The sequence below is a fragment of the Homo sapiens genome, chromosome 7 (assembly GCF_000001405.40).
Source record: "Homo sapiens chromosome 7, GRCh38.p14 Primary Assembly".
In the NCBI taxonomy this organism is placed as follows: domain Eukaryota; kingdom Metazoa; phylum Chordata; class Mammalia; order Primates; family Hominidae; genus Homo; species Homo sapiens.
In genome coordinates this window covers 12592051-12617944 of record NC_000007.14, presented here as the reverse complement: position 1 = coordinate 12617944, position 25894 = coordinate 12592051, and the positions used below count along the sequence as shown (strand labels likewise).

Genomic DNA, 25894 nt, shown 5'->3' with positions numbered 1-25894 from the left:
AGCAAAATCACAAGTCATTAAAAGCCATAAGCCAGAATGCCAACTTATTAAACAAGAGCAGTTGTTTTCACTGGCTGCATATTAGAACCATCTGGGCTGATATAAAAAAGAATGCCAATGTCTGAATCCAATCTCTAGAAATTCAGATTTATTTATTCTGATTGGAGCCCATGCATTGTATATTTGAAAAGCCTTCTAGGCCTGCTTTGGTGATGTGATTCAAGTGCTCTGTGGCATCAGCTTTGCTAGCCTGGTTTATCTACCTCAACCATTGGGATAGGTCTGCCAAGCATTTCTGAGGTTCACATTAGCTTGTTAGAACACATCTCCCCTGGACAAATTATTAGGGCCTGGTGGTCTGAGAGCTGCTCTGGGGCAAATCTCAGGTATTAAGATTTCAGGTCATTTGCCTTTTCTAGACATCACCAAACCTTTTTCCCTAAGGCTTCAAACCCACTTTGGACATTTCTGTCTGATCAGTGCTTGGATGAACGCTTCCGAAACTTGCCTTTGGGGTTCCTAATTTCTGTGCATTCTTCCATTGTCTTTTTGACACCTCCCTTCACTTGGCAGGATCAGGCAGGCTGAGCTGGGTGGAGCCGCTACTAAGAGTCTCTGTAATCTAATTTCCACACTTAAAATGGTATAATAAATAATATGGCTCAATTATCATGTGATTATTACTATGACTAGCATATGGTGAAAATTCAACAAATGGTAGATCCTGTACCCTTTCTTCACCTTTACATATGCAGAGTCAAATCTTTCCCTGGTCAAAGCATTACTCTTTCTGTCTTATACAACCCTGCAAATTACTGGACTAATCCTTTGCATAATGATTTTACCACTGGACTTCTTGCCACACACCTCCTCATGGACTTACACTTTATTATTTGTTCACGTACTGATCTAATGATTTTATAAAGCAGTCTATATGTCTTGGTAATGTACCTTTGTCAAAATCTTATATCTTAGATTTAAACTACAAATTGAATATAGACCTGTATATCCCTCTCCAGGCAAAACCTGGAGAAAAGTCTTTTATGCAATCAGCAGAAGAGTAGGTGACAATGCTGAGAAAAAGGAATATGATATAGTAATCTCTTCCTTTCATTGAAGTCCACAATTGTGTTGTCTATGATGTCATTAGTCCTTGATTATAAAACGAATTCTCTGATCCTCCTCTGTGTTTCCATCATATTTTCCCATATAGTCTTGTACATACGACCTTATTTTGGTGAGGCAAGATATATCTGTTATGTAAGGTTTATTTCTTGCGTGTCTATAATATTCTGGCTCTGTGGGAAAGAGCTGAGTCTACAATGGTTAACAGGTTAGCTTTGATCCCTGCTTTAGGTGAACTAACTTTCAGTGCAGTGTTTTCGCTGTTTGGAGTTGCTACAACAGAATACCACAAATTAGGTAATCTATAAAGAAAATAAATTTATTTCTCACATTATGAAGTCCAATATCAAGGTAGCAGAATCTGGTGAGGCCTTCTTGCTATCTCTTCTCATGGTATAAGGAAGAAAGGCAAGAGAACATGGAGAGCAAGAGAGCAAGAAGGGGCCAAACTCACTTTTAGATAATAATAAACCCACTCTCAAGAAATAACCCATTTCTGCAATAATAATGTCAAACTATTCATGAGGGCTCTAGTCATCTCTTATTAGGTCCCATTTCCCAAAACTGCTGGGTCCATAAAGATCATTCTCCTCTCACCGCTGGGGCTTCACTACAGTGTCTCTGGTAACATTATTAGTCTCAGTAACTTCTTGCTTATTTTCACTGATTTTGGAAAAGATTACCCTCTGGTACTCTAAGTTGGATAAAAAACTAAGTTGGGTAAGGGGAGAAATGGAGAAGAAAATAGGGCACCCCTATAATGAGAACATGAGCTAAACCTCCAGGAGTATTTTTTCACTGCCCTGTATCACCATATACATATACATATACACATATTTATATGAACTTGTTTAATTTTATCTCATCTTATCCTTTGAGGAAAAGGTACATAAACCTGATTTATATATAACTTTTAATTCAATCTGGCCAAGTTTTGTTTCAATGGCAAGGGAGTTGGGAAAACTTTTTTATCTACATAATCCAGAAAATTTCCAAGCATGAAATTTTAATTGAGCAAACTCAAAAATGGCTTTTCAAGTACTCTGAGGCACTTAAAAATATTTGCATAACTTCTATGCTATACATTAAGAAAATGTATATTCTTTCCAAAAAAAAATGTGTACCTCAATTACCCTAAACCAAATGCCCCTGTAATTTGGATGAAGGGCTGAATGCTAATGGTAAGAGATAAAAAACAAAGGGGTAAGCCAGTTGAATTAGTCAATTTTCACACTGCTATAAAGAAATACCTGATACTGGGTAATTAATGAAGAAAAAAGGTTTAATTGACTCTCCGTTCCGCATGGCTGGGGATGCCTCAAGAAACTTACAATCATGGCGGAAGGTGAAGGGGAAGCAAGGCGCATTTTACATGGCAGCAGGAGAGAGAGAGGGAACACAAAGGAAAAAACTACCACCTTTAAAACCATCAGACCTCATGAGAACTCCCTCACTATCACGAGAACAACATGGGGGAAACTGCCACCATGATCTAATCACCTCCCACCAGGTCCCTCCCTTGATGTGTGGGGATTACAATTACAGATGAGATTTGGGTGAGGACACAGAGCCAAACCATATCACCAGTCCACTGAGTACAAACACTGTGCTATTAAAACTAGTAATTATTATATGGAATATATAAAATGAGGCATAATTATCAAACATTTCTGGCAAAGTTTTTGAAGTTATAAAATAACTTCACAGCAGTTGGGATTTCCCTTGCTCTGTATGTTTAAGATCGCAGTGTCTGTAAGAAAGACAGTTTGGGTGTGATCCACAGATTTCTTATTCTTATTTCTACTTAAGCAAGTTACATAGCCTCTCTATGACTCAGTTTCCTCATCTGTAAAGTAAGGATGTAGCAGATGCTATTGGTGCTCTGCCCATATCACCTTGATCTAACTTAGAGTTCATTTGCAGATAGTGTCTTAAAGCTCTAAGTCTTCTGCTCTCTACATGGTGGCATTATTTGGCCATGGAGCTGTCTATAGATAGTATCTTAAAGCTCGAAGTCTTTTGCTTTCTATCTGGTGGCATTCTCTAGCCATGGAGCTGTACTGTGTCCAAATACAAGGCAGGTTCTGGGACATTAAGAACCAAGGAGCAATGCTCAAGCAATGAGGGATGGGAGTTACTGGCTAGACCCAGCAACCACTCAGCCTTCTGAGGGCTAATGCCTGAGGGTCTCTTTGGGACTCAGCCCCAGTTGCTCACTGTAGTAAGACACCTGTTAACAAAATGTTGTCTCACTTTACTCCTACTTGATGCTTTCAGGATCACCTTTCAAATAACAACCTGCCCCCAAGTCCTTGTCTCAGAGTCAACTTTTGGAGGAACACAACATAGACAGGGAATAAAAAATGTCTCCATATCACAGTAAGGGTTTTAAGAGTTAAATCCTGTAAAGCTCCTAGAAGAGTGCCTCTTCTATGGTTAGCACTGAATGTTTGTCAGGGTAGTAGTTGTTAGCTCTTTTGCAGCAATTAAAATCCATTTCCTAGATTATTTAATTCCTGTGTTAATAAGAAGAAGCACTTGTATGCCATCAAGAAAATGTAACAAAAAGATTAAGGAATGAACAGGAAGTTCAGCCTACCAGTGAGCCATCTACATTTACCCTTGTAGAACACAAGATGAGAGAAGTCGTGCCATTCCCTAACAATAGTGTTCCATAACAGTGAATATCACAATGCAATTGTAGAGCATTTGCTCCTTGTTTCAAAACTGTTTTTAATCAATATATTTGTCTTCTCTACATGCACTCTATCAGACATCGTTAAGATGTATTTTTGACAGCAGATTTCAGACCATTAATATTTAATTTCTCTGTGATACATGGTACATGACTTCACTTACCAACATAGTTCTATGAAGCTTTTTTGTTTACATACAGATATTAATATATTTTAGCAGCATGTTGGTACCTTTTTCATGATTAGTAGATTATGGGATATCTAACACTGAGAATTTCCTATTGGTTTCCACTGAGCAGAATACTATATTTACATGAAGAAACCATCCTTTCCTTACAAAGTCACTTTAAAGCCTTTAAATAAACATATTATTACATATACATTTTTTCAAAATAATGTAATTCTAAAAATTGTGATGCACTAGATACCCCTGCAAACATAACAGCAATTCTGATACATTAACACTAGTTTATACAAGTGCTGTCAATATAACCCAGTTCCAACACTCTGTGATTCTAGGCTCTGGAAAAACAGTACTTGGAAGCACAATCCAGGTGGCCACCATTTTAGGAACCTCTTTCCAATATGTGAGCATATTTCCTCATGATATTAAACAAATGCTTATTATCAAATACATACTAAGGAGATATGAATGGCTGAATCTTGCATATTTAACATTTTCGTATCTGGGCTTGGCTAACTCTAAGCACAATATGTAAGAGGAAACTGATACGAAGTAAATACTATTGTTTATTATTATATACTTAAAAACTAATTTACAAAATGAATGCAAGAAATCATGAATCACTGAATCAGAGACCTGGCCCTTTTATATCTGTGTTTAGCTGAGTCTTAGCACAAAGGATAAGATGAACTTGACCTAAAATTACTGAAAAAATACAGTCTGTTAGTTTTTTTTAAATATATTATCACTATTGTGACAAGTGGAACACTAAAAGGATAGAATAGAAACTGCCATTATAGTTCAATATTTATATTAGCTTATCAGTTCAGATATACGTCTTGTGGGGCAAAGATCCATCCCTCTCCCCTGTCCTACCCATTAAATCCATCTGTCTTGGAACTGCATTATCCTATTTACAGAGTCTATTGATATTCCCTCACTTCAGCTGCAAGCTAAAGGGAAAATTAACTCATTCAGAGATGATTGCCAAGTGGTGTTAACTTGGACTGATTAATATAACAGTGGTACCTTGTCTGTAAGGTTACAAGTCTTCGTTATGAAATTTGGTGTGACAAAGGGGGAGATTATGTGAAATGTTATCACTTTCTTGCAGCATATGATAAGCTGTTACTATATGAATTTCTTATCTTTGTTCAGAACATTTCAACTTCCCCCACTGGATGAATTGGTGAGGAACAAAACGGGTATCCAAATTCAATACTAGAAATCCAAGCAACAAATTCATTAAATTAAATAACAAGGAATGAATAGTGTCTTGAACAGTGCCTGGCAAACAGTAAGCCATCAATACATGGTAGATCTAAATAGCTGGAGCAACACTAGTGTTCTAGAGAGCGTCGCAACTTGGGGCAGGTACTCCTTATCACTGTAATACTTTGGATTTCAGGAGTGTACTAAGTATTATTGCAGTAAAGCAAAATGGAGAAAATGCATTAATTACAATGCAGCAAAGAGGAGAAAGAGAAAGATTCCTACTTGCTTGTATCTCTGATAGTTCATCTCTTCTCTATATGCAGTGTAGCCTCAGGACTAATTTAGAGAGGGTTGCGAATATATTTGCTCCCTTTAACTTAAAAATCTTTGAATGGTAAGTCGGTAAATGGACCTCCTCTTTCCCAATGACTCTCATAATAATGTTATTTCAATCAAACGACAAACACTTGATGAGCAGTGCCTATGTGTCAGGCACAATGCTACATGAATGAGGGATTACAAAATATTTAAGACATTGTTCAATTTCCCAAGGACTTACAAAAAGTCATAGGAAAATAAAAGCAGGATAAATAAGGAAGCTAAAACTACTTGGAAAACATACAAATATTTAGACCCAACTGATAACTCAGACAATTCAAATTTCCATTCTTACAAAGTACAGAGTTTCGACTAGAATGAAAAAAAATAGGAGGGCAACAGAAAAATAGTTTAATGACTTATTTTTTGTGTGGGTATTACAAACCCATAAAGCAACCTTAATCTTTTTTTTTTTTTATTTTAAGAGACAGGGTTACTTTATGTTGCCCAGGCTGGAGTGCAGTGGATATTCACAGGCATGATCATAGCTCACAGCATCCTTGAACACCTGGACTCAAGCAATCCTCCCACCAGAGCTTCCCAAATAGCTGGCACTATAGGTGTGCACCACCAGCCTAGCTATATATTTATTTATACCATTTTCCTATAAAGCCTTAGACTCTTTCAAAAATGCTAAATATATTGTTACAAAGTGGTCGTGAGAGGGATTTTCACAAAGCTCCCCATTTCAATTACTAGTACTTCTTTGGTTCATTCGATACAACCCTATAAAGATAAATGGAGAATGATTGATTTATCTAATCAAAGGTCACGCCCCAGAAATAAAGCTCTTTCCTCTCTCTGTAGTATCATTTTCAAAACAATCATTCTTTATTTAAATGTACAACTATATTTTCATTAAAATATTAAAATACAAACCCATGTAAGTCTAGTAAACTTAGGACAAACATTTCCACAGAAAAACTTTAAGGAATGCTGACAAAATCCTAAGCTTCCAAATTCCAATTTGATTTGGTAATCTTTTACTTTGTATTCCAAAATGTATGAATGTTCCCATGATCAAATTATTAAAATTTAAAAATCACTCATTTCTGTAAATTTAAAAGAACTTTGGAAGCACTAGCAATGTGCACAGCCTTTTGACATTAACTTTGGGGGAAGAACAAGACAAATGTACTAGATGACTCAGTAATAAAGCACTACATCTGTGTAGATCCTTGGAGTTCATGGAGCAAATTCACCTTTAGTCCAGAGCAGTGAGCAGTGGTGGCCCCAACAGTTCCCAAAGAGGCAGCACTGGAATTGCAGGCAACAGCCAATCAGGGTAGCCAGGCAGCGGGCAGCAGTGTTACATGCTGTCCTGGCAAGAAAAGAATTGGAGTTTTGTGGCTGCTGGATTCTAAAAGGGGTGATGACCTGACCTGAGAGGGACGTAAGGTAACATGCATTTTAATTCATAGATGAAGAGTTTTAGATACTAGCTACATGTTTCCTACCGTGTGAAGCACTTTCACTTGGAGTATATGCCATCTGCCTAATATGTGGGACAGTATTGCACTAAGTATAAATAAGCTCAAGACCTGTTTGTTGTTTTTCGAGAGGCTGGTTCTAACTATCACCTGAAAAAAGAAGAGGAGCAGAATATTTGAATTATCCTTTCTAAGTACCAACTGCCTTTCCATGTAAATCTAGTTGGTCTTAAAACTTACTTTAATCAGCATATGACTTTGTTCATGTCTACATCAACAATATCACCTAAAATAAGGGAATTTTTTAAGCCATACTATCCCCTAAAAAACAGAAAAACAAGCATACTTAGTTTCTGGAACTACATATTTCACAGTTAATTGTCTTAATTATCCAAATACGAGTGGGCAATGAGTTAGAGCTGTGAGGGCTACACAAATATAAAGGCAGTGCCTGCCCTCAAGGAACTTAGCATTGATAACATATAAATTTTATTTTGCAAAGTACTTTGAAGAAGTATGGCTAAAAATTTACTCTTTGCCTTAACAGGCTTTGTAGAGTACATCTCTAAAAGATAACTTAAGAACTATCTTCACTATTCAACTCTAGTTTTTACTAACAGGACAGCCAGATCAGCATAGGGTAAATATCCCATCAACTTTCCAAGAGAATGGCTGAATACATTCTTTTGTTTTCATACTGTGAATTATGACTTAAAAAACAAAAGGAACACATTTTCTATTTTGGGAGAACCTTTGGAGTTTAATCTAGACTATATGCTAACATCATAAAGTCTAAAATAGGATTTTCATCATGAAAAGTCTTCCAACAAATTGTGGTGTTATTCAGACCATGCTCTCTGGCCTCTGAGGACCCTCACGATTCTATTCCCACACTTTCTGACTATTTTCTAGTGCATGCTTATCTCCTCAACCAGACAATAAAGTAAGCAGAGTCTTCAAACTTCATTGGGAACCAACCCTGCACTTGATAAACAGTTATTAATGGAGACATAATATGTTATTCTGATTTTCTTTTTTTTTAGGTCAAAAATCTGAAACAATCATTGCATGTATGACTTTCCAGAGAGCCTTACAGTCATTTTTATAAAAGCAAGAGTTCAACAACAGTTCAGCAACACAGCATCTGCCTACCATCTCCCTGTAGAATTTTTACTGCCAGTATTTCACCACCAGCATTTACAATGATTATAGGCTTAACGAATTCATTAAACTATATTTAAAAAGTCTTTCCAGAATAAAAAAAATTGTTGTTGTTTCAAACAACTTGCCCTTTCTTCATCTTCATTCTTTTTATATCTACCAGATGCTGGGTTTTTTTCTTAATGAAAGTCTAAAAAACATAGTATTTTTTTCCTTGGGGTTTTTTTTGTTTGTTTGTTTGTTTTTTGCTTTCCTCCTAATGTTTACAAAACGATTAATCAAGGAATAAAGTTTGGGACCTTAGGGCTAGTGAAATATTTAATTTTTCTTCACATTCACTGATTATTTTAAATATGAAAAGAAGAAAGATCACGAAAAAAGCTTTACATAATTTATGTGCAGTCATTTATGGTAAATATATTTGCAGCAAAAACAAGCTCAGAGTAAAATTTGACTTTAGTTACAGAGTTTAGTTTTTTCCACATATAGGATTGTCTTCCTATTTAGGCACACGGGCTTTTAAAAGTACTAAAGATACAGAAAGGAGGGTGAGCACACATCCTGTTTCCCCAGACAGTCTTGTTAATGATGGTTGTGTCCTATCTCCTCAGTGCCCCCTTTTACTCTACAATGTGCTTTGCTTTGGAGGATAAATTTATGGTCACCCTGGAGATAAGCCATATAAAAACTGTGTGAAAATACTGTGATCAATAGCTGAAATACTTCAAACTAAAGATAAATTTTTCAAAAGACTCTCAGAAAAGTGTGAGTTTCAGTGTTGAGCACTTTAATGTGTTAGACAAGTTCAAAAATTTCAGCACTCAATACAGAGTAATGAAAACAGGCTCATTTAATTGATTAAAATATCCGTGCTTTCAAGCCATTTCTAACTTTCACATAGAGAGACTTTCAAAGCTTTTAAAGTTAATAATTTTAAAAGAACCCCATTAGAAATGAGTCTTTTAAAAGGTCAAATTTAGGCCGGGTGCGTAGGCTCACATCTGTAATTTCAGCACTTTGGAAGGCCAAGGCCGGCGGATCACAAGGTCAGGAGTTTGAGACCAGCCTGGCCAACAGAGTGAAACCCCGTCTCTACTAAAAATGCAAAAAATTAGCTGGGTGTGGTGGTGGGTGCCTGTAATCCTAGCTACTTGGGAAGCTGAGGCAGGAGAATCACTTGAACCCAGAAGGCAGAGGCTGCAGTGTGCCGAGACCGTACCACTGCACTCTAGACTGTGTGACAGTGCAAGACTCCAGCTCAAAAAATAAATAAATAAATAAAACCTCAATTTAAAATATATTTGAAAAATTTTTAGATTTTCAGACTCCATCTCTAGTAAAATCAACTGTTGCACCAGGGTCTCAGAAAAAGAAATGACATTTTCAAATTTTAAACAAGGATACTCTGTGTGTGTGTGTGTGTGTGTGTGTGTGCATGTGTGCATGCATAGTATAGACTGGTTTGGAACACTTCTGAAACCTATTAGTTCCCTTCTAAGAAAAATATTTGCTAAATGCATAAAACAAGATACAAAGTATTATAATGGAAATAAATTACATTGAAATGCAGCTATTAAAATATCAAAATACATATTTTAAAGTTTGGTAAAGTAATATATGAGCTTTTCATTAACTCATTAAATACTAGTGAGCAGAAGATCTAATAACAATAATAATTACCAAGTAGCAATGAGCATAAACGTATTTTGAGGTTGTGTACAATAGCTATAATGTGAGCTGAAAAGTCACAGTACTGTTCCTGCTACTCACGTTTGCTTATTACTTTCACAATTGGAGGAAAGGCCGTATTTCAGTTAAGAGGTTAGTGAAAATAAAGTTGTAATTCTTCCCAACCAAGTTCATGGGCTTTTTGTATTCTATCCTTATCATTACAACACTAAGAAAGCCTAGAAGTCAAACAAGTTTGTTATAGGTGCTCAATTAATTAATCAAATAATTACTCTTTCTTGTAATCAGGCTACAAAACTACATTTCCAAAAGCGAAAAGACCACTGAATGCTTTTTTTCCTTATCTAATAAAGGTTTTCACTGAAAATTCATCTCAGTTCATTGTGTGAGTGAAAGCAGTCAAATAAAATGTAGTATAGACACTGAATGTATTGAATGAAAACAAAGTGGGTGCTTTGTAGGATTTTTCTAAAAACCAAACTGAGGAGTCTTGGAAACACAGACATCACATTTTATCTTAAGCATTATATCTCTTTATCCTTATCACTAATATTTTAAAGCCAAATTATATTTTTGCACAGTTTTTCTTCATTTGCTTTTTCTTATTTTAATTTTACAGTGTAATGTATTGACTGTTTACACTTTCTTTTTCGAAACATTGAATGAAATCCAATAAGCCAGGACACCACATATGTACATGCCCAGCAGGGCCCCTCAGCTGCAGCAGCATCACTTCCTGGAACAGACTACAAGTGGCAAATGAGTGGTAATTAAACACAGCTGCTGCCCAAGAGGTAAGGTAGAAGGATAGATCATTAGAACCTAAAGGGACTGGAGAAGCCATTTTGTCTAACCCTTCACTTTGCATATGAGGAATCAGACACAATGAATAGTCAGGAGACTTGCTTTGGGCCAAGGGTGACCCTGGAGAAGCATGAGTGATGTCCGATAGTTAATGTAACACTCTTCTTACCACTTCACAAGGCAAGTCCTGTTCCTGAATCTGCTTCTATCCAAGCATAGCTATTGAGACAAGGGATTACAGTCAACTAGAAATACATCTTATTTATAGATTTTTGCTTCCAAATATGCCAAGTTAGAAGACTTACATGGTTGATCCCATCTCTAGAACAGAGGCCTTAAAAGAATATTAAAAGATCAAGAATTTGTTTTGAATACTTTTCAAAGTCTGATTTATTAGCTATGTTATTCTAACCAATGAAAATCCAGTAAAACCATCCCTAATTTTATCTTAATTTTTTAAATGGACTTTTTTTCTGATTATAAAATGAATCATATATGTTAATTATAACAAAGACAAATGAAGAAGAAAATAAGCAGCCACATCCCAAGATGTAATACTGGTAATATTTTAGCACAATTTTCTAGGTATGTACATATGTATGAATACAGAGCTATATACACATATTATATGTTAGTATAATATTGCATATAAAATTTTATATTCTGTCTTTTCTCCTAGTATTATACCATGAGAATTTTCCCCACTGAATTAAAATTATTTCCAAAACATCATTAATGTGAAAGTCTGTGTCTGGGCATTATTAAAGCAATAAAGTTTAAAGACATTACAATACATAAAGTTATTTCATATAATTTCTGATCACTGGATTTTTAGGCTATCACTGGACCATGTAACTACTGCATTAAATTTCTGTAAGTCAAAAATATTAAAAATGTTTATGAGATAGCCTTTAGATAGATTTAAATGCAAATCTAAAATTACTGGAGGAATATGTATAATATTCCAGGAAATCAGAGAAATGAAAACTCAGAGATACCACCTACCACTATTAAACGCAGAAGTTTCAAAAAGGTATTATATCAACAGATTTTGACAGGGCTCTGTAAAGTCACGATGGAACACAGTGCTCGTACAAGGAAGTAGCAACTGGTGCAAACATTTAGTGCCTGGCGCATCGCAGGAGTACAATAAATATTTGTTGTATGAACAAATGGAAATTAATTTGTGAATACGTATGAAGACATCTTAATATAGTTATACTCCTTAACTGACAGTCTTATTTAAGGGAATATATACAATATATATACTTAGGTAGTCACTGCAATATTCTTAAAAGACAAAGTTTGGTCACAACCAAATGCCTAAGATTCATATAATCGTTAAGTAAATGATGCAGGGTCTATAGAGCCATGAACACTTAATTTTCACATTAATTTAAGAACTACACTAAAATCATAAGTGTGTTGCGTATAATTCTTAGCTTAAAATGATTGAAATATTTTAAATACTGGCATATTTAATCTCTTGGTATAAGATTGTATTTAATTCCTTTAACGAAATACAAGTTGAGCATCCCTAATCCAAACATCTGAAATTAGAAATACTCCAAAGTCTGAAACTTTGAGTCCTGATGTTATGCCACAAGTGGAAATTCCACCCACAAGTACTTAACACACATTTTGTTTCATGCGCAAAATTATTTAAAATATTGTATAAATTTATCTTCAGGCTGTGCATATAAGGTGTATGTGAAACATAAATGAGTTTCATGTTTAGACTTGACTCCCATCCCCAAGATATATCATTTTGTATATACAAATATTTCCAATACCCCGGAAATTCAAAATCTGAAACACTTCTGGTCCCATGCACTTTGGAAAAGGGATACTCAACCTGCAACTGTTAATTTTAAAATTGAAGAAAACCACCGTGTTTGAAAAAAACCCTGAGAAGGCCGGGCAGGGTGGCTCATGCCTGTAATCCCAGCACTTTGGGAGGCCAAGGCGGGCGGATCACAAGGTCAGGGGATCAGGACCACTGGCTAACATGGTGAAGCCCTGCGTCTACCAAAAATACAAAAAATTAGCCAGGTATGGTGGTGGGCGCCTGTAGTCCCAGCTACTAGGGAGGCTGAGGCAGGAGAATGGCGTGAACCCGGGAGGCAGAGCTTGCAGTGAGTGGAGATCGTGCCACTGCACTCCAGCCTGGGCGACAGAGCAAGACTCCGTCTCAAAAACAAAAACAAAAAAACAAAAAACAAGTAAAACCCTGAGAAGCCCAGATGAATAGATGAAAGAACTATTAATATTGTCTTCCTTCCAAAATACATTCTTACGGTCAATTTCAGAAGTGTCACTCATTTGTTTCACCTCATATACTATAGAAGATAGGCCCAGGGCTCCTTTGATAGTGACACCAACGGTAAGAGAAAGTCATGACTTTCTGTTTTCCCAGTTCCATCACTTAGATAACCCTGTTGTTTCCTCTTACTAATTGTAGCTAGGCTCACTATTGAAACATGTGTTGAATCTCTTTCCCCTTCTTCCCCACCCTGCTGCCTTACACACACACACACACCACACAGACACATACGAGTTGGAGTGGTAACCCTTTAACAAACAACAGGAGTCACAATACCTTTATAAGTTCTGAGGGTTCACTTCCTTCTTCCACGACAATTAGTTCAGACCTTCCTTTCCTTTCATTGTACCGAATGCCAGTAGCTACCTGGTTTGCCTTCAGACGTTCATATTTGTTGCACGAGGAACCACACCACTGATAAATTTCCTAAAAGAAAGAGACAGATCTGTTGACCCTAAGAATATGAGGAAGACATTCAGCCTCAGTGTAATACTTGTGATTAATTAGGAAAGAAAAAGGAAAATTAAATGACCTATTGTTGAGGTATATACATAATTGTTACACTTCATTCTGCATCCTGCTGCTTTCAGTTAGCATTACAAAGTAAGCAGTTTTTAAGCATGGAAAATATAAATATATATATCACCATTCTCTGTGTATATAATCTATAAATTACAATTTATAAAAGTAAACATATGGATTAAATTTGAAATAATAAATATACCACACTTCAGAAAAGTAGTAAAGAATCTGTAAAAATATGATACTCTTGATGATCATAAAATGGATATAACATTTTTGTAAAACTATTCATGTTTTTAAATTGACAAATACATGTTGCATGTATTTATTGTGTATAACATGATGTTTTGATATATGTATACATTGTGGAATGGCTGAATCAAGATAATTAATATATGTAAAGCAATTTAACAATTCTTATCAAGAGCCATAAAAAGAGTGATATTGTCCCAGTAATATCACTATCTGGCATTTACTTTAATAAATTATTCATAAAAGGAGAAAAAAACCACACATATAAGGGTTTTCGTTGCTATGTAATTATATTGGTGAGGCCTTGGAAAGGCATTAATTGTTCAAGAATAGGATAATAGTTATATAAATTATGATATATAGGGAAAATTTGATACTTAACTGTTAAAATTAAACTTTAACATCGAAACATGAAAAAGTCGAAACAGAATAACAGTGTGACATATAGTAGAGATTATATTAGCTACCATTTAGATTAAACTACTATATATTTTAGATTGTAGATTTTGGTATAGTGTCCAGAAGGTATAAGGATACAAACGTAAAATAATAATGAAAAATTACCTCCTCCATTAACATTGTTTACCAAAAGAAAGAAAGAGAAGTTGAATAATACCCAGACCTGGAGTGGCTGTGGGAGTGGGCATTATCACCCACTATTTGGGTGGTATAAACTGACACAGGTTTTTTAAGGGTGGTTTAGCATCATTATAAAAAAATTAAGGTCAGGCATGGTGGCTCATGCCTGTAATTCCAGCACTTTGAGAGGCCGAGGCTTGCGGATCGTGGGTCAGGAGATTGAGAATATCCTGGCTAACACAGTGAAACCCCGTCTCTACTAAAAATATAAAAAATTAGCCAGGTGTAGTGGCGGGCACCTGTAGTCCCAGCTACTCAGAAGGCTGAGGCAGGAGAATGGCGTGAACCCGGGAGGCAAAGCTTGCAGTGAGCGGAGATCATGCCATTGCACTACAGCCTGGGGGACAGAGCGAGACACTGTCTCAAAAAAAAAAATTAAATGTGCTTTTAATAACAAGAAATTCCATTTATAGGAATCTATACTACAGAAATATTCGAACATGGGATATAAAAACAAAAGAAACTGTTGCGGGAAGTCAGGGACCCCAAACGGAGGGACTGGCTGGAGCCACAGCAGAGGAACATAAATGTGAAGATTTCATGGACATTTATCACTTCCCAAATAATGCTCTTATAATTTCTTATGCCTGCCTTACTTTAATCTCTTAATCCTATTACCTTCGTAAGCTGAAGATGTACGTCACCTCAGGACCACTATAATTGTGTTAACTGTACAAATTGATTGTAAAACACATGTGTTTGAACAATATGAAATCAGTGCACCTTGAAAAAGAACAGAATAACACTGATTTTTAGGGAACAAGGGAAGACAACCATAAGGTCTGACTGCCTGCAGGGTCGGGCAAAAAGAACCATATTTTTCTTCCTGCAGAGAGTCTATAAATGGACGTGCAAGTAGGAGAGATATCGCTAAATTCTTTTCCTAGCAAGGAATATTAATATTAAGACCCTAGGAAAGGAATTGCATTCCTTGGGGGAGATCTATAAACGGCCGCTCTGGGAGTGTCTGTCTTATGCGGTTGAAATAAGGACTGAAATATGCCCTGGTCTCCTGGAGTACCCTCAGGCTTACTAGGATTGGGCAATTCCAGCCTGGTAAATTTTTGGTCAGACCAGTTCTCTGCTCTCGAACCCTGTTTTCTGTTGTTTAAGATGTTTATCAAGATAATACGTGCACAGCTGAACATAGACCCTTATCAGTAGTTCTGTTTTGCCTTTTGTCCTGTTTCCTCAGAAGCATGTGATCTTTGTTCTCCTTTTTGCCCTTTGAAGCATGTGATCTTTGTGACCTACTCCCTGTTCTTGCACCCCCTCCCCTTTTGAAATCCTTAATAAAACTTGCTGGCTTTAAGGCTCAGGTGGGCATCATGGTCCTACCAATATGTGATGTCACCCCTGGAGGCCCAGTTGTAAAATTCCTCTCTTTGTACTCTTTCTCTTTATTTCTCAGCCAGCTGATGCTTATGGAAAATAGAAAGAACCTATGTTGAAACATTGGGAGCGGGTTCCGCCGATATCTGGCTCCCAACCTGGGGCTTAAACCCAGGACCCTGAGATTAAGAATCTCATGTTCTACCGACTTCCCCCAATAAGAAACAAAACAAATGCCCATCAATAAGAGGATGGCTACATAAATGTCATTGCATGAGTCCTGTCCACTCCTCTTCAGTAGTTAAAAATTAAGAAAAATGTTTAAATACTGATGTAGAAAATTAGTGAAGGTATATCATCAAGAATACAATAAAGACATAGAATAATATAATTACATTTAAGTAGAAACAAAAACACAAGCTCTGGCTCTGTGTTTGCACAAAAAAATGATAAACAGTTTTAAGAGATTCAGAGGGCATGCATATGCAGAAAGAAAGCCTTCAATGTTTACTGTATCTAAGTCAGTGATTTTTTTTTGTTTGTTTTTATGTCACATACATTACTCACTGCTTATTATGCTGGGGATACAGAGATAATTAAGAAAAAACTAGCAAGGAGAGGTGGACTGGTAGAAAAATTGGCTAATAATACATTTGCACTGTGCTTGGTTTTCACAACACTCCCACACACGTTTCATCTAGTCAACCATGTAGAGTTGTGGTTAAGTGTGAGGGAAATGGACCTAGGCTGCCACTTTCTGGGTATTTGATAGTGTGTTTGCAATTTTTCAAAAGAGTAAATAAATTAGAAATAGCAAAATAAAACATCCAGAGAAATGGATTCTTCTCTGATTAAATTTCCAGCCCAGAGTCATTTCTTCACTCAAAAAATGGTTTACTGAGTGACTAAAATGGGGCAGCCTCTCCTGTAGGTACTGGAAGCACCATTCTGAACAAAGTAGGCTTGCAATAGTCTCTCTGACCCCCGCTTAACATTCCTGATGACCTAATCCACGGTCCTCTTTAAGAATAAAATACACATTTTAGGAATGCAAAACTTTATAAGAAATAAAATCAAAAGGACTACGTCTAGCAATCTCCTTCTCTCAAGAATCGAATGCAGTTATTTAGTATGGTCAAAGGGTGTTTCTTTCCTATTTCTAAAAGAATAGTGCACTTCTATTGCTTCTTTTTAACCTCTTTTCTACATCTGGGCATTGGAATATGAGGCATACATGTGGAGGTCATTTGAATACCATGACAAAGTTAGCAGTTACAAAGAGTAAAAATAAAGGGCTCCCAGTGATAAGTCAACTCTTAGCCACTGAGCACTAAAATCAGATAATAGAGTAGCAAGGTAATTTTTAAAAATACAGAGATGTGAGCCCTATCCTTAGGAAATCTCAGGTGTGTTCTGGGCAGCTGTGTTTATTAAAAGCTCCTCAGGTGATTCTAGCATTCAACCAGTGTGTGCCAAGTGTGATGTACTCTGAGCACACCACACTTGTGCACAACAGGGAATCTGTAACATCTAATTATCCAGTGCAACTCAGTAGACTTTTCTGCTGAGCCCAAACTAATGTTTTTGTTTTGAAAACATTTTACTTATACTTGACTCATGACAGAAAAACATTGACCCTATAAATCAGAATATTTTTTCCTACACGTATCTTTGTTTTTGTTTTAAATTTTTAATTTTAATAGATTTCTGGGGAGCAGGTGGCATTTATTTAGATGAATAAGTTCTTTAGTGGTGATTTCTGAGATTTTGGTGCTCCCATCACCCGAGCAGTTTACACTGTACCCAATGTGCAGTCTTTTATTCCTCACCATCCCTCACCCTTTCCCCTGAGTCCCCAATGTCAATGTATTATTCTTATGCCTTTGCATTCTTATATCTTAGCTCCCACATATAAGTGAGAACATATGATGTTTGGTTTTCTATTCCTGAGTTACTTCACTTAGAATAATAGTCTCCAATTCTATCCAAGGTGCATGCGAATGCCATTATTTCGTTCCTCTTTATGGCTGAGTAGACCTAAATCTAAGACCTGAAACCATAAAGATTCTAGAAGATAACATTGGAAAAACCTTTCTAGACATTGGCTTAAGCAAAGACTTCATGACCAAGAACCCAAAAGCAAATGCAACAAAAACAAAGGTAAATAGATAGGACTTAACTAAACTAAAAAGCTTCTTCACAGCAAAAGAAAGAATCAAGAGTTAACAGACAACCCACAGAATGGGAGAAAATATTAGCAAACTATGCATTTGACAAAGGACTAATATCAAGAATCTACAAAGAACTCAAAAACACATCAGCAAGAAACAATCCCATCAAAAAGTGGGCTAAGGACATGAACAGACAGTTCTGAGAAGAAGATACATAAATGGCCAACAAACATGAAAAGATGCTCAACTTCACTAATCATCAGAGAAATGCAAATCAAAATCACAATGCGATACCACCTCACTCCTGCAAGAATGGCCATGATGAAAAAATAAAAAAAAAACAGATGTTGGTGTGGGTGTGGTGAAAGGGAACACTTTTATACTGTTGCTGGGAATGTAAACTACTAACGACCACTATGGAAAACAGTGTGGAGATTCCTTAATGAACTAAAAGTAGATCTACTGTTTGATCCAGCAAACCCACTAATAGGTATCTATCCAGAAGAAACGAAGTCATTATATAAAAAAGATACTTGCACACACGTGTATAGCAGCACAATCTACAATTGCAAGAATATGGGACCAGCCCAAATGCCCATCCATGAGTGGATAAAGAAAATGTGATACACACACACACACACACACACACACACTCACCATGAAATACAAAGCAGTGTTTTGCTAAAATTCCTCTTCCTATCTTATTCCATGATATTTTGCAAGTGATTATTTTCTCTGCAAGTCTGAGAATACAGACTTCTAATAATTATATTTTACATTAAAGTGAAAGATCAAAAGTAGATCAGAATTTAAAAGTCAAGTTTTCTTTTTACCTCAAAGGTGACTAAATTACTAAGCAAAGTGGTTACAGAAAACTTCTTACTCAGCATGAAAATGAATGACCTGTGTTCTCTTTTTTATTTTCACCTTATTTTATGCCACTATTTACATACGAGTGATATATTTTCCTATTTAGTAGACTTACTTTTCAATGGTTGATATAAAAAATTTAATAAAATAATAACTTTAATTGTAAATGGCTAAAAGTCAGAATGCTTGACAAGTCATTATTAATTAAAACACTGTTTTTTTTTCTTTCTCTCTCTCTTTTTTTTTGAGACAGAGTCTGGCTTTGTCACCTAGGCTGGAGTGCAGTGATGCAGTCTTGGCTCGCTGCAGCTTCTGCCTCCAGGTTCAAGAAATCCTCCTGCCTCAGCCTTCTGAGTAGGTAGGACTACAGCTATGTGCCACCACGCCTAGCGAACTTTTTTTGTTTTTTTGTTTTTTGTTTTTTGTAGACATGGGGTTTTACCATGTTGCCCAAGCTGGTCTCGATGTCCTGGGTTCAAGCGATCTGCCTGCCTTGGCCTCCCAAAGTGCTGGGGTTACAGGCATGAGCCACTGTGCCAGGCCGATAACACTGTTTTTATTCAATCTAATTAAATGTTCATTCAGTGGTGGCAGCAGTACATTAAAACTTGCTTTAAAAACACAATTTTAGTATTTCATCAAATTTGAAAATGTATATTCCACCATGTGTGGATAGTGTGTTTAGGACATCTCATTTTAACAGAGCTCTACTGTGCTGAAGTAAGTGTGTGTAGTTTTATTAATAAACTGTGCGGCCCAACACTTACTCTATTCAGAGGTAGTTAGTTATGACTACTTCACCACTCTGGCAGAAGGAAACTTTGTATTCATTTGGCACCATGCTTGAAAAAAACTCTGTTCTTAATTCACCTTACTCTGTTTCCACCAGGGAGTAGGCTTAAAAAATAAATTCCTTCATAAAGTTAAAAAAAGTCTGAATAAATGTGATAGGTAAATACCTATTACTACAACAGAAAGTTTTCACTATAATCTAAGTTATTTTATGTATAATGCTTTAACAGAATTTAGTTTAAAAACCATTCATTGACTTGATTTAAGTATGCTAGACACTGAAAATTGTAAAGCAAACAGTTTCAGGGGCAACTATTTCACCATCTAAGATCTTAAGGCATTTAACAACTCAACACTAAATATCATATTTCTCTAGGGAAGCAATGTTTAAAAAAGCCCTGTAAATATGAAATTATCCATTTATAAATAATTTGGAATGAAATCCACTTAAATTCTGGCAGAAAGCTGATGTACATATTGTATATGAACATCCTCTAGCAGAAGTTTGTGAAACTATAATTAACTCTTAATATACAAACTATTAAAGAAAAACAAAATTATTCTGCACAATTGGAAAAGGAAGAAATGAGACTATAAATACAATCTGTTACTGGCAGTTAGTCTGGTCCACTAGTTACAAGAAATAAGAGCAAGCAAGTTATATTTATAGAAACAACCACATTTGGGGAGGGGAGTCCTATTATTGGTCTTGAAAATCAGAGGTTTCTAAAATTTCTTTAAACTATGTGTTGAGTTAATAAGTGCAGCCAGACATCATTTGAGGACAGAAAATAAGGGCAAAAGTAAAACAATGCTCAATGGTGCCCTTGAGGAAAAGCAAGATTTCAGAGGCTGTGTTTAAAGGAGCACCCAAAACAGCCTATGCGATGTTGACTCAACATGTGCAAGGAATTCAGCATAGGCTTGCTGCTCTTTGGTCCTTTTCTAAGTTATTATTCTAAATACATCTAAAATCTGATTAAAGGAGAACGTGAGGCCAGACTTCTTCCTCTTCCTGGCATCTATTGGCTTTGTCTTTCCTGTGTTTAGCTTTCCCTTAGATCTAGTTACCCAAATATAGAAATTCATTAAGATGTATCTTTAGCCTAGAGGTTCTCTAAGTATAGTTTAAAAACAATGATTTGTGAGATAACTCCACGAACCTTTTTTATTTTAAAAGTTTAAAATATGACATCTCGTTTTTGAATAAACAAATGTTTCTTTATATCTATTTTGTTGTCTCCTCAAAGCCAGCTCAACTCAATATCCTTCAGTTACGTATGTATTGAAAGATATTGTGTGTGTTTTTCAAACTACCTCTGAATGAAGGACACAAGATGAATGGAGTGGTGTGCAGGGCCACTGAAGGCTTGGTGACCAGAAAGGAAGCAACTACATTTGAATTAGGGCAGATCAGTGGTGATAGAGAGAAGAGAAATAAATATTTAGAAGGTCTAAGCCTATAGGATTGGTCAATAATGCCATTTGGATGTGCAGTAGAGGGACAGGGAAAAGGAAAATGACTTGGACAATTCTAGCTTGGTTGCTGGTAGTGATGCCACTCATCAGGACCAGATGAACAGTTTTGGGAGGGATCTTTGCGTAGCACCAGTGAGCACAGGTGAAATTATATTCTCTTACTACTCAAAGTGTTTGCCAAACCAAAAAAAAAAAAGCTTACAGTCATACTTTAACAAAAAGCATTTCTGCCAGCCACCTAAGTTGGTGACTCAACTGCTCAATCAACATCAAGAGTTACTGCTTCTTCATGCGTATTGTTACAGGTAGTTACGCAGGCATGAGTGGGGCAGGAGAGGGCCCTCCCCCAACCACTAGGAATGTCAGTTGATGGTTCAGCAATGATCACATTGCCTCTCTAAAAGTGATAAATTGGCAGCTGGCACCAGAAAGAGGCCATTTCCTGAAGGTTCACACCTGTTGCACTAAAGTGAATGCAGACATCAGGGAGGCCATTTCCTGATGGTCCACACCTATTGCACTTAATTAAACGCAGACGTCAGGGAGAAGCAACTTCTTGGGGATGTGCAAGATGAGACAACATGGTGGAGTATGACCTTCTGGGGACACGCCACTGGAAAAAGGAAGAAAGACTCAGGTTGGCATGTGTACGACTTCCTAGACACACTGCATATTCTCACCTCCCAAGGGTAAGGAGGGCACTGCACATGAAGGCAGCCCACCCTAAGGGAAGAATCATGGGAAAGGAATCTATAAAATCCTAGGATCAAAGTAAACACCGCGCTTGACCTTGGTACCTGCTTGGGTCTCTTCCAAGCATACGTTCCTTTCTTTTCCTTCCTGTTCTAAGCTCTTTAAAAATAAACTTCCACTCCTGCTCTGAAACTTGTCTTGGTCTCTTTGTCTGCCTTATGCCCGTCAGTCGAATTCTTTCTTCTGAGGAGGTAAGAATTGAGGTTGCTGCAGACCCATATGGATTTGCCACTGGTAATTTGGATACCTTCTACTGGTAACAATACGACCCTGAATTGTCCAGCATCTTTAGACATTTTCTTGAAGTGATTTACAACATTCAGTGTACCTTATGTTATGGTATCCTGGAGGGAAGGAGTCTTAAGAAGTCCAAACACCAAATTCCAAAACTTTAAAATCAGAATCTTCAGGGGTCAAGTCACAGTTACCAGTACTTTAAAAAACTTTTCCAAATGATTCTAATGTGAAGCTATGGCTGAATATTAAAGTACAAATCGTAACATCTTAAGAGTTGTCTTTCCTAGTGCCTGCTCCTCTCCCCTCAACCATTGCCCCTATCCAGCAAGAAGCAGCCAGATGACAACAGTGCCCCTCTTATATTACCTATTAAAAGGCTGGAATGTTAGGAACAATCTGCCCCAGGACCCCTCCCCCCACCCCAATGCAACAGACTCTTACCCCAAATACTCTGCAGCTGCATTCCTGGATCCTTATCTAGGCCTACAGCAAGGTCACCAGACTTGCTTACAGCCCTACGGGCAGCATGGGGGAGGTCACGAGAAACGTGGATAAACCTAAGTTACGCCCTCTTGTAAATTCCTATATTGAAACCTGGTCACAAGATGATATGTGGTAAAGTTAACTCACAAACAACCCCAGGGTCTCTCTGCCCCATATAAACCCGTCATTCTGTAAGCTCAGCGCTGCCTCCTCTGACTGTGGTGGAGCAGCTCAGCAGGATAATAAGCTTACTCGCCTGACCTTGGGTCTCTCTCTCATCCTTTCTCTTGGCTAACCTTCATTTTGGTGCCAAAACCCAGGAAGGGGATAGGCTCTGGCTGGGCGTCCTTAGAGGATTCTCTCTCTCTCTCTCCTATCATCCCTTACCCAGCCAACCTCCCCTTCCCGAACCTGCTAAAGACCCTAAGGATCTCCCAAAATTCTCCCATTGTTGGCCACCTCATCCACCATCAAAGCCTCTGAGAGGGGTGAGTAAGAGAGACTTTTGCCTATTACCTGGAACCCTTGACCATCTCTTCACTCCCAAAAGACCCAGCGCTGGGCCAAGGGCTTCCTCTGGCCTCCAGGCCTCTGGTTCCTCTGTTTCCTGGACGCCTGACTCCGCAGCTACCTCCTCTATTCCATACAAGGCCTGCAAGACAGGCGCCGCCCTCTCTCGTCTTTGTCGTCTGTGGTCCCTTCTTCCTCTACCCTCACCTCCTCCATTCACTATGGGAGCCTCTCAGTCTACCCCTCCCAAGACCACCCCCCTTGGGTGTCTCCTCCGCAATCGCAAGGCTCTCGGCCTCCGTTCAGGGATCCGTTCTAAGAGGCTTATCTTTTACTGCAATACTGCATGGCCTCAATACCAATTGGACAATGGCTCCCAATGGCCCGAAAATGGCACTTTCGATTTCAATATACTTAGAGACTTAGACAACTTTTGCCATCGCAATGAGAAATGGTCTGAGATTCCTTATATTCAGGCTTTCTTCATTCTCCGTAACCACCCTTCTCTCTGCCACTCCTGCTCTACTTTCCAAATCCTACTCACCAGCTCAAAACCTGACTCATCTCCCGTCACCCCACCCACAGACCCAGCCGATGACTCCTCTTCCTTTGACCCCGTGGATTTTCTCCCTCCTCGACAGCATCATGATCCTCCACCAGAGCATCATGATCCTCCACCGTATGTCCCTGCTCCGGCTCTACCCCTCTCCCCCACTCTCTCCAACCAACCCACTTCTGACTCTGAGTCCTCTCTGCCTCCTCCCCTCACCCGCTCTCGGGCCCAATGTGCTCAGCAACCAGCTCCCTTGCTTCCTCTCCGGGAAGTAGCGGGAGTTGAGGGGATCGTCCATGTCCACGTCCCTTTCTCCTTCTACGATCTCTTACAGATTGAAGAACGTCTCGGGTCCTTCTCCTCCGATCCTGATACTTACATCAAAGAATTTAAATATCTTACTCAATCTTATGAACTCACTTGGCATGATCTCTACTTTATCCTCTCTTCTACCCTCCTTCCAGAAGAGAAGGAAAGAGTGTGGCTCGCAGCACAGGCATATGCCGATGACCTTCATCAGCAGGATCCTACTAAGCCCGTAGGAGCTGCTGCTGTTCCCTGGGAAGAGCCTTCCTGGGAATACCAACCCACAGACCCTGGCCAAGTGTACTGTAGCCATATGATTACTTGCCTCATTGCAGGCCTTAACAAAGCTGCCCATAGGCTGTAAATTTTGAAAAACTTAAAGACATTTCCCAAAAGGCAGATGAAAATCCTGCCCAATCTCTTTCCCGCCTTACAGAAGCTCTCCAAAAATATACCCGCATCGACCCTGCCTCCTGAGAAGGAACTATTGTTCTTTCTTTAAAAAATTTTATTTATTTTTTAATTATTATTATACTTTAAGTTTTAGGGTACATGTGCACAATGTGCAGGTTTGTTACATATGTAGGAACTATTGTTCTTAATACCCGTTTTATTTCCCAATCTGCCCCTGACATCCGGCACAAACTTAAAAAGGCTGAAGATGGCTCTCAAACCCCACAACAAGACCTCCTTAACCTGGCTTTCAAAGTCTTTAATAACAGGGACGAGCAAAATAAATTAGATAAAGCCCAAAGAGATCGTGCTAAATACCAGCTTCCAGCAGTGGCTATCTGTCAGTCTAGCCATAGTACCCAAGGGCACAAAAGACCTGATAGCAGCAAACCTCCTGGGCCTTGTTTTAAGTGCGGCAAAGAAGGCCACTGGACGGGGCCATGTCCCCACCCATGAGTGCCGAAGAGCCCTTGCCTAGTCTGCCAGCAGATGGGCACTGGAAGTCTGACTGTCCTCTCAACAGATGGGCAGACAAGCATGCTCCTCAGAGCCACCATCCCTTCAACAAGACAAAAAGTGAAGAATCACTTGCACTCCCATAGCTCCTTGGCCTAGCCACTGAAGACTGATGAGGCCAGGGCCCCTGGGCCCCGGCTCCCGGCCCCCACTGCCATCACTGCATCGGAGCCCAGGGTAACTCTACTAGTAGCAGGTAAGCTGATCTCTTTTTTAATTGATAGTGGGGCCACCTACTCAGCTTTGCCTGAGTTCTCAGGACCCACTCATCCCTCTCAAGTCTCAGTTGTGGGGGTTGACGGACTCATCTCTTGTCCGCTTGCCACCAGACCTCTTACTTGTTCCCTGTTTGATGCCATTTTCTCACACTCTTTCCTTATCATGCCTCATTGCCCCACCCCCATTCTAGGCTGAGACCTTTTAGCCAAAGTCAAAGCTTCTATCACCTTTTCTTGCCCCCTTCAACCAGAGTCCCCTCCTGCTCCTCTCCGCTAGTCCGGCCCCTGACCCCTTTCCCCAGTACCCACTTCCTGCCTCTCTCATTAACCCTTCCGTAGCTGCTCACCATGACCCCATCAGAATCCAGTTAAAAGACTCTTCCAAATTTCCCAATGTTCCTCAATACCCCATCTCTCTAACCCACCAAAAGGGCCTACAGCCCATCGTAAACAAGCTCTGCTCATGCAGTCTTCTTAGACCAACACACTCTCCATATAACACCCCTATCCTCCCTGTTAAAAAGTCTGATGGCTCATACCGACTCGTTCACAACCTCCGAGCCATCAGTCAAGCTGTCCTCCCTATTCATCCCATAGTCCATAACCCCTATCCACTTCTCTCTCTCGTCGCTACCAACACCACCCTCTACACTGCAATTGACCTGAAGGATGCCTTCTTTACCATTTCCCTACACCCTGATTCCCAAAACCTATTTGCTTTCACCTGGACTGACCCTGACACCCTCCAGTCACAACAACTCACATGGACTGTCCTCCCTCAGGGCTTCAGGGATAGCCCTCAT

The 25894-nt window shown here is 38.4% G+C and overlaps 2 protein-coding genes across 6 annotated transcripts in view, besides 1 other annotated feature; one reads left to right on the top strand and one right to left on the bottom strand.

Annotated features, from left to right (window-relative positions):
* Positions 1-25894, bottom strand: part of SCIN (scinderin) — an 89463-nt gene that overhangs the window by 42238 nt on the left and 21331 nt on the right. For all 3 annotated transcript variants that reach the window (NR_156701.2, NM_001112706.3, NM_033128.3), the window contains one exon: positions 13282-13431. Coding sequence is in view for 1 of the 3 variants with exons in the window: in NM_001112706.3 (NP_001106177.1) it covers positions 13282-13431 (150 nt within the window). In the remaining 2 variants the exon portion in view is untranslated. The remainder of the gene's footprint in view (positions 1-13281; positions 13432-25894) is intronic.
* Positions 21108-22307: an enhancer, noted in NCBI's record as "CDK7 strongly-dependent group 2 enhancer chr7:12635263-12636462 (GRCh37/hg19 assembly coordinates)". NCBI's record gives its function as "activates an origin of replication core promoter dependent on BRD2, BRD4, P300/CBP, MED14 and CDK7 cofactors, with strong dependence on CDK7, by STARR-seq in HCT116 cells {active_cell/tissue: HCT116}" and the evidence as "EXISTENCE:reporter gene assay evidence [ECO:0000049][PMID:35650434]".
* Positions 22738-25894, top strand: part of LOC107986768 (uncharacterized) — a 31315-nt gene continuing 28158 nt past the window's right edge. For 2 of the 3 annotated variants that reach the window (XR_007060635.1, XR_007060634.1), the window contains exon 1: positions 22738-23023. Coding sequence is in view for 1 of the 3 variants with exons in the window: in XM_047421172.1 (XP_047277128.1) it covers positions 23267-24268 (1002 nt within the window). In the remaining 2 variants the exon portion in view is untranslated. Of the gene's footprint in view, positions 25070-25894 lie in introns of all 3 variants that reach the window. The other variant, XM_047421172.1, reaches the window with a different exon arrangement.